Source organism: Homo sapiens, chromosome 16 (assembly GCF_000001405.40).
Source record: "Homo sapiens chromosome 16, GRCh38.p14 Primary Assembly".
Lineage (NCBI taxonomy): Eukaryota > Metazoa > Chordata > Mammalia > Primates > Hominidae > Homo > Homo sapiens.
In genome coordinates, this window is record NC_000016.10 from 68,469,070 (window position 1) to 68,478,361 (window position 9,292).

The 9,292-nt window shown below is 47.4% G+C and overlaps 1 pseudogene, besides 4 other annotated features; it reads right to left on the bottom strand.

Annotated features, from left to right (window-relative positions):
- Nucleotides 1,434-1,723: an enhancer, noted in NCBI's record as "active region_11017". NCBI's record gives its function as "activates an Ori minimal core promoter by ATAC-STARR-seq in GM12878 lymphoblastoid cells {active_cell/tissue: GM12878}" and the evidence as "EXISTENCE:reporter gene assay evidence [ECO:0000049][PMID:35858748]".
- Nucleotides 1,434-2,154: a biological region, named in NCBI's record as "H3K4me1 hESC enhancer GRCh37_chr16:68504627-68505126".
- Nucleotides 1,655-2,154: an enhancer, noted in NCBI's record as "H3K4me1 hESC enhancer chr16:68504627-68505126 (GRCh37/hg19 assembly coordinates)". NCBI's record gives its function as "activates a minimal SCP1, AML or CMV promoter by ChIP-STARR-seq in primed H9 embryonic stem cells {active_cell/tissue: H9 hESC(primed)}" and the evidence as "EXISTENCE:reporter gene assay evidence [ECO:0000049][PMID:30033119]".
- Nucleotides 1,814-1,943: an enhancer, noted in NCBI's record as "active region_11018". NCBI's record gives its function as "activates an Ori minimal core promoter by ATAC-STARR-seq in GM12878 lymphoblastoid cells {active_cell/tissue: GM12878}" and the evidence as "EXISTENCE:reporter gene assay evidence [ECO:0000049][PMID:35858748]".
- Nucleotides 8,123-8,590, bottom strand: RPL35AP33 (ribosomal protein L35a pseudogene 33; annotated as a pseudogene).

A 9,292-nucleotide genomic window follows, 5' to 3' on the forward strand; every position in this document is an offset into this window, starting at 1 on the left:
CTCCCAGGTTGCTAGGTGTTGTCCCATAAGATATCACTTAGAAAACACAAACTCAATGATAGAATTATTAAGGATTTCGAGATGGTGACTGCAGAGCATTAAACTTCAAGCTCAGGGCCCTGTGCAGCTGCCTGATTCACTCCTCAGACCCAGTGCCCAAGACCCCCTCGCTTTTGTCATAGCCTGGATTCGCTGGAGGCCCTGGTGCATGTGTATTGAGTTTCACTGGCACAGGTGTCATGGTTTCTGCAAAAAGATCCCCAAATAATTGTTTTTTGTCTATTTGGAGTTTGTATTTGTCCCTTTCTCCTCAGTGGCCTCAGCCATTTAACGTAATTGTTCTCTATGTTTCTGTAGTGTAATAATATTTTTGTTCATGATGGTTACAGTCATGTCACTAAGGCTTCAGGTACCAAAATAATGTTTAAAACGATTTGATGGAAAAGTACAGAAATCCCACTACAGATGAAGCCAGCTAAAGCTGTTTGGCTGATCCATTGTGTGGCTCCTTGTGTAATGTAGTGAAACATGAAGTGAGCCTGATAATCACCAGTAAAAATAAAGGTGATTTTTGACTAATGAAACTATACTCCAATCAAAATAATAATGTCATATTAAGAAACAGTGTGAAGCTACTTTTGAAATATTTCCAGATTTGTTTTTAAAACTATAAGACTATTTTCTCAACAAATATTATTGAGAGTAGAAAAATCAATTTCATATTGTTTTATATGAGTAGAAGGCAATCTCTTCTTAAAGTGAACTGAAATTGGCTTTGTGTCAGAATGGAAAACTTGAAAATAACTCCAGGATTTCCTGAGATTCAGCAGCTAAAGATTTTGTAAGAGAAATCCTGTTTAGTGTGTGTGTAAATATTCTTGCTGTTTTAAAATCAATATTTGCCCAAAGAACGGCATTTCTAAAAATAAATTTGGTTTCAGTTTTGTTTTCTTTTTCTTTTCTTCATCTTTTAAAGTAATTGGGGCTGACATAGGTTTTTTTTTTTTTTTTTTGCTATTCCTAGCCACTAAAACTTTCCAAAATGCTGCGTTCTGTGCAGTTAGTGGTAGCGTTTGCCAGAAAAAAATAATAGATTGTAAAGGAAGCAACACGGAACAACCACGTTTTTGTTATTCGAAATGCAGCTACACGTGTTTACAGTCCTTAACCATTTCATCTGACAGCCTGGGGAGACAGACTTCTAATTTGTGTTTTGATAAACTGAGAGTGACAGAGCGGTTGTTGGCCCTGCTTGGAGGTGGAGTGATGGTGTGGTCAGAAGGGAAGCCGGAGGGAAGTTACACTCGTGGGGTGTGTGTTATGTGACCTTTGTTTAATACACGTTCTTATTTGATCTTCACAACCATGCCACTTGGCAGGTGGGGAAACTGAGGTGCAGGGCAGGGTAGTCATTTGGCCATCGCCACAAAGGGGAGCAGCTGCAGGGCCCGTCCAGCTTACACCACTCTGTCCCACTCGAGAACAGCAGGGAATCGGGGGCTGCTGAGCCTTGCGGTCTGGGGGAGGAAGCTGCATGTTCTGTGGGGGCATGTATGCCTCTAGTCTGGTTCTCCTTTCTCTGTTCTCCTTTCGGTTGTCCTTGGTCACTCCACTTGGTCACATGGAGAGAATTGGCAGCTTTCGGAGGCAGTCCCTGAGTGCTCTGTGATGGCTGAGGCTCCCCCAGCTACAGAGCTTTAGGGGAAGTTCAGTTTATCTGGTGGAAGAAGGTGAATGGCCCTGACAGCCTCTCCCCAGAGCTCAGCCCTGGGGGAGTGAGCCGTGTTCAGTGGGTGAGGCTCCCCCATGCAGCCTGACAAGAGCTGCAAGTGTTCTGCTGATCAGGAACCCCGAGGCCGGGGAGAAGTGATCTGCCCAGGACCCCACAGCAGACTGTGTGGCAGAGTGTGGTTCCCGCACTGGGCTTCTGGCAGCCTTTGCTCCAGTCAGCATGGGCCATGCAGCTGCAAATGGTTGTAGATGCCACTTGTAGGACTGCTGGATGTTGGTATCTTGGCATCATTCCCATTTGTTAGGAGCCTTGGAGCCATGTTTTCCTTGGGAATTGATTATATGTGTCCCCAAACTAAATTAACTCATTGATATTTGAGATCTTGGGATCTTGAGTATGTGTCTTATGTCTCACCCCAACTTTGTTCTAGATTTGGGGTGAATAGGTGGGAGAAATTCACCTGAAATTCCTTAGAACAAGACTTACTACTGTGTCTTTGTGGCCTGTAGGAGCTAAGGGACTTTCTGAAGACCCTAGGGCTGACATGCCCTGGGGATGATCCTGTCCAGCCAGGGTAAAAGGCGAGCTCCCACAGTCACTGTGGCTCTTCCCCCTGCCAGCCTCTCCCACCTCTCTGGCTTGCTTGGCCCCGACCCTTCAGGGATCAGCAGCATTTGTGAGATGCTGAGGGACAGGAAGACAGTGAGCCCAGGTAAGGAAGATGCCAAATTTGACAGTTGTCCCCAGCCACTTGCCTAGTTCCCTTCAGTCTCTCAGATTCCTGGCCTCAACCTCGCTTAGACACTCTCAACATCTCTCATTCAGCTCCTGGGGTCTCCAGGAGGCTCCCCAGCCCCAGCCTTAATTGCCCTCAGAACTCTGTCTCTTGAACCTGGAGCCAAACCTGCTTCCAGCTCGTGCCTGCCCAGTAGACCTGGGGCACCTCCAGACCCAGCTCCTGAGTGGTCCCTGGTTTCTCACCGAAGTGTCAACCTTCTGATTTCCTGCATTTTGCCCTCTTCTCTAGAGCCACATACTCCTTGTTCCTGTCTGGACCATCCTACATCAAATGGGGTCGAGGCTCGAGAGCAATGGCTCTCACCTGTAATCCCAGCACTTAGGGAAGCTGAGGTGGGAGGATTGCTTGAGCCCAGGAGGTAGAGGGTGTAGTGAGCTATGATCACACAGAGTGAGGCCCTGTCTCAAATAGTAATAATACAGCCAGGCGCAGTGGCTCACACCTGTAATCCTAGCACTTTGGGAGGCTGAGGCAGGTGGATCACTTGAGCTCAGGAGTTCGAGACCAGTCTGGGCAACATAGCAAAACCCTGTCTCTACTAAAAATAAAAAAATTAGTAGAGGTGCACGCCTGTAGTCCCAGCTACTTGGGAGGCTGAGGTGGGATAATCGCTTGAACCCAGGAGGCGGAGGTTGCAGTGAGCCAAGATCACGCCACTACACTCCAGCCTGGGGGATAGAGCGAGACTTTGTCTCAAAAATAGTAATAAAAATAATAATTTAAAAAGTGGGATCATGGAAAGCCTTATCAGGAACCACCAGCGAACCTCATACTTTGTCAGGTAGGTGTGGGGTGGGGCCAGAGTTGGGTCAGTTAGGACCCCAATAGACAGAAGATGGGAAAGACAGCTGGACATGGGGCTACCCCAGAGCCAAACCAAGGAAGCCCAACCCTGATGTAGGGTCCACAGCCTGGACACAGGTGACATGGCCAAGAAGACTGAAGCCTATGAAGGGTGGCTAGGAGGGAGGTGGTGAGTGAAAAGCAGGAACCAGAGGCCAGCTGGAGCAGCTGAGGGGCTCTGGCTTCCGAGCATCTCAGATGGGGACTTGTGGGAAGGTAGCGTGGAGCCACAGTCCTGACTAGGGTCTGCCCCCTGGGCTGTGATGCACAGCATGGCCCCATCCTTTGCTGTCACCTCTATGTCCACTAGGGTTGCTCCTCCTCTGCCACCTCTCAGGCCACCTTCTGAACCTCTCCACTCACTTGTGCACTCTTGCTCTTCCCTGCAAGCCCAGCCTTTGCTCCTAGCCCAGGCTGCTGCACCTCTGACGCCAGGCTGCTGTAGGAGCTGCCCTTTTAGAAGAAGCTCTGATGTGACCTGCGACTTGGTTCAGGCCCTCTTGAAGCTTGGCCAGCCTTGGCTGTTTTCTGATCCCGGCCAGAATTCACACACATGCCCCTGTTTAGTTTTGACCAAGGTCTCAGCGGTTTCAGTTGAGAATGTCTGGCTCTGCCCTGTCCTATCCTGAGTTCTCTCTCCCTTCACTAAGAGATGGAGTTCTGCAGTTCTACCTGGGCCACTTTTGGCACCCAATCTGGCCAGCCCTGTTCTTGCTTCATGATATTTCAGGGCTGATGCCACAGAGATGAGGCTGTGAAAACTTGAGGGCAAAGGCTTGTCCTTGTTTACCACTGAGTCTGCAGTGTCAGCACTTAGTGGGCACACCGTAACTATCTGGATAGGGGCCTGAGCTCCCATCAAGGAGGTGGGTGGTCTCAGGGTCAGAGCCTTGACTCCCCTCCACCCAGTGCCACTTAGATGCACATACCAGTGTGGGATGCATGGCTTGCCTCAGGGCTCCAAGGATAGGTCTTAGATCTCAGATGCCTGTGTCCTCCTCCGTCTGACTCTGCAGTTGGCCTTAGTGCCCTGCTCATTTTCACACCCTTGTGTCCCCACGTGCAGTGGCCATGAGAGCTCTTCTGTTAAGATACAAGTGCACTTGTACTAGGGAGACACGTGCTGTGGCAATGTGCTGTGCCCTGTGTAGGTGCTCATCCTGGAGAGAGGCCACTTTATTTTGCCTTGCTCACTGGGGTGGCCATTCTGGGCACATGGTTTCAATTAAAATGCATCAGCAGGATTTGCCAGATTACTTGGCCAAGTGGTGTCACCTGATGTCTAGTGGATGAGAGATCTAAACAGCAGACCTTTCCCACCATTTGAGGAGCTGAGCTTGGTTAGGAGTGCCTGGGAGCATGGGAGGTGAGCTCAAAGTCTACAGAGCCACTGTGCCAGGCTTGAGAGCAGGGCAAGGTCTGTGGAGTCAATGGAGGTCAGCAGGGCACCGAGAATGGCCTAGAGAGGAAGTGCAGACTCTCCGCCACACATACCCTTCTCCTCCCTCTGCAGTTTGGCCCCTTTCAAAGTCAGGGGAATTTCCTGAGGAAATGGAGCCCTAGCAGGGCCCAGAGGAAAGGAAGGCTCTCGCTAGACGTATCACCTTACTTCCCAGGCACATTTGAAAATCCCCCTGCAGGCAGTTTCCACAAAGCAGATTATTTTGTGAATGCCCATGAGAGACTGTGTGATTAATTAATTAATTATTTTTTGAGATGGAGTCTCATTCTTTCACCCAGGCTGGAGTGCAGTGGCACCATCTTGGCTCATTGTACCCTCCGCCTCCCAGGTTCAAGCAATTCTCCCGCCTCAGCCTCCTGAGTAGCTGGGATTACAGGTGCTGCTACCACACCCAGCTAATTTTTGTATTTTTAGTAGAGTCGGGGTTTCACCATATTGGCCGGGCTTGTCTCAAACTCTTGACCTCAGGTGATACAGCTGCCTCAGCCTCCCAAAGTGCTGGGATTACAGACCTAAGCCACTGTGCCTTGCTCCAGTGTCTGATTTAAAGGAACACCCAGGACACTTATTCATCAAATGACTTATTCCTTTGCCATATAATTGTCATATAACCCAACACATATGTCCATTTTGTGATTGGATATTTTTTTAAACTAGTCAAGTGCAGTGGCAAGAAGGGGGACAGAGTAGAACAAGGAGTTCAACCTGTAACTGACAGTGAGCAATCAACTGAAATAACACACTACCTTCGAACCAGCCCATGTGGTTGGATTTTTGAATCAAGCTTTTCTTTAGTAAGACTAATGCTATCAAGGAAAATCCACAGGGGTGAGGGCAGATCATAGATGTTGGTAGGACCAGCATCAAAGTGAAGGACTGCATGTGTAGCCTAGTCCATACTTTGGTTTACACAAATCTATGGGAACCATCACTACTGAAGGCCCTCATGGTGCTTGAATGCAACAGAAATGAGCTTCATCGTGTTGAATCAAGTGTTTGGCTTCAGAAAGTCAAGGCTTGGTGGCCACGCAGAATTCTGGCCTGGCTTCTAGAAGGGAGAGAGCTCCAGCTTTGGCTTAGCAAGGTTGTCAGCCTTGGGGTGCCTCAGCCAGAATGATTGTGACCACAGATCACAGAGACTTCAATCAGGTCAGTGTGGTAAAGATTGGAATCTAGGTTCAGCAGGCTCAGAAGACCACCTTGCACACAGCATTGGCTTCCTCGCTCCAGAAGTAAATGGTTCTCTGTAGGTTACATAAGGTTCGTCTTGTCCAACAGCCCCAACCTGAAGGGTGAGCCCTGGGGGTTCAGTTCCTTCAGAGCCAAGTGTGGCTCACCATCTCACCTCTGCCTTATCCTGTTCCTCAGCAATGTTGGGAGTCTTCCTGGAGTGAGTCACCATGCATTCCACAAACAAGGCAGAAATGACAGTGGTGTTATTGCCCCACAGTTGGGTGGACTCCCCCAAGATCCAGGTGTGATCAGCCCTGGTCCTAGTGATAGACCAGCCCTTCTCCTACTACCCACGGAAGCTGCCTCATCATTGCCACCATCCGCTTTCTCAACAGGAGAGACTTGATACAGAAGGCATAGTCCCTGCTCTCAAAGAACCTGGGACAAGTTGGGGAGGTGCAGCTGAGTTGGTAAAGAACCCCTGGGTAGCATAGGAGAGTGAATTCATAGATTCTATAGACAAACCCCATACCCATACTTGGAAGAGTTGAGGAGTGACTGGTTGTCCCCCTAGGGCCAAGAGCTGCTGCCTCCCTCCCCTCCTCCTTCTTTTGCACAGCTTTATTGAGCATAATTGATATACAGTAAACTGCACACTTTGATGGATTTTTGACATACGTCTGCCCCTGTGAAACCACCACCACAATCAACAATGACCATCTCCATCACTCATTGCCTTGTACCCATGGAAATCCCCCCTTGCTGCCCTCCTGCCCCACTCCCAGTCAACCACTGACCTGCTGTCAGTGACTATGGATTAGTTCACATATTCTAGAATTGTACACATGTAGAATCATACAGTATGTGCACTTTTTTGGGTCTGTCTTCTTTCACTCAGTGTCATTGTTTTAAGGCTCATCTACGTCATTGTATAAACAGTTTGTTCCTTTCTATTGCTGAGTAGTATTCCATTATATGAATATACTACAATTTGTTTATCCATTCGTCAATGGACTTTGAGTTCTTTCTAGTTTGGGGGCTATTACGAATAAAGTTGCTATGACTGTTCACATACAAGTGTTTGTGTGAATATATGCTTTTATTTCTCTTGGCAAAGTGCCCACAAATTGAATGACTGTCGTATGTTCAACTTTTTTTTTTTGAGACGGAGTCTTGCTCTGTCGCCCAGGCTGGAGTGCAGTGGCGCGATCTCAGCTCACTGCAAGCTCCACCTCCTGGGTTCACGTCATTCTCCTGCCTCAGCTTTCTGAGTAGCTGGGACTATAGGCGCCTGCCACCACGCCTGGCTAATTTTTGTATTTTTAGTAGAGACGGGGTTTCACCGTGTTAGCCAGGATGGTCTCGATCTCCTGACCTTGTGATCCACCCGCTTCGGCCTCCCAAAATGCTGGGATTACAGGCGTGAGCCACTGTGCCCAGCCATATGTTCAACTTTTAAAGAAACTGCCAACTGTTTTCCAAAGTGGTTGAACCATTTTCTATCCACACCAGCTGTTTATGAGAGTTGCAGCTGCTCTATATCCTTGTCAACACTAGGTATGGTCAGTCTTTTTAATTTAAGCCATTCTAGTGAGTGTGTAGTAGTATCTCATTGTAATTTTAATTTGTGCTTCTCTAATGACCAATGATGTTGAGCATCTTTTCATATGCTTACTTGCCATCCAAACATCTTGTTTGGTGAAGTGTCTCTTCAAATTTTTTACCCTTTTTATTGGTTTTGTTTTTGTATTTTGGGACAGTTTCCCTCTGTCACCCAGGCTGGAGTGCAGTGGCACCATCTCAGCTCACTGCAACCTCTGCCTCTGGGTTCAAGTGATTCTCGTGCCTCAGCCTCCCAAGTAGCTGGGATTACAGGTGCTCACCACCACACCTGGCTAATTTTTGTATTTTTGGTAGAGATGGGGTTTCACCATGTTGGCCAGGCTGGCCTTGAACTCCTGACCTCAAGTGATCCACCCACCTCGGCCTCCCAAAGTGCTGGGACTACAGGTGTGAGCTACTGCACTTGGCCCATACTTCTTCATTTTTGTAGCAGCGCATTTTGAAGCACAAAAGTTTTAAATCTTTTTTATTTTTATTTTATTTATTTTTTTACAGAAGCACAAATCCATGTATATTTATTGACTTTTCATTAGTTTAAATCCTTGAGGGGTACAGCATCACTCAGATTCTGTGTCCCCATGACAGGCTTCCTGCCTTAGCAGGAAGATTCCTTTGGAACTTGGCACGAAACATGCCACTGTTTCCATGGGCCTGAGTTACCTTTCCCCAGATTGCTCTGGTTTTGTTTTGTTTGCAGCCAGGAGTCACTGTGTTGTTCTTTGCTTTGTATACATAAGTGCATCTCTTGCCCAAATATAATTCTGTTTCATCTTAGGCATAATCACCTTCAATTTTAAGAAGAGCTGTGTGCTCCCTTTGGTTCTGGAGACTCCGCTTATACCCAGCAAAAATGGCCTTTGACCACAGCCTATTTTCTTTTAGACATATTTCCAGACATATTTTCTTTTAGAAGTCCTGTTCCCAGCAGGCCTCCACAGGATCCAAGATGGCGGGAAGATATTTTTATTTTTTTTGAGATGGAGTCGTACTCTGTTGCCCAGGCTGGAGTGCAGTGGCATGATCTCAGCTCCAGAGTTCACTTAATTCTTGTGCCTCAGCTTCCCGAGTAGCTGAGATTACATATGCCTGCCACCACGCCCAGCTAATTTTTGTATTTTTAGTGGAGACAGGGTTTCACCATGTTGGCCAGGTTGGTCTTGAACTCCTGACCTCAAGTGATCCACCCACTCAGCCACCCAAAATGCTGGGATTACAGGCATGAGCCACTGTACCCGGCCCACAAAAGTTTTAAATATTGATGAAGATTGTATTGATTATCTTTACAGCTTGTGCTTTTTGTGTACTAGTTAGGAAATCTTTGCCAAATCCAAGGCCACAAAGAATTTCTCCTATGTTTGCTTCTGGTTGTTTTATAGATTTAGTTCTTACATTTAGGTCCGTGATTCATTTTGAGTTAATTGTTGTCTATGGTGTGAGGTAAGGGTCTAGGTTCAGCCATTTTCTTTTAAGATTCCTGGTGCTCTGAGTTAGTATTCTGCCCTCTCCCCACTACACCTCTGTCTCCACCTCTTCATGAAGCTGCCATCTATTCCAGTCTCTGATGTCTCCTATAATGTATTCTTCAGCCTCTGACCTCCTGCTGTACACTCAAGCACTTGGTGGGGACAGAGACCCTTCTCACCCTGCTCTGGATGTCATG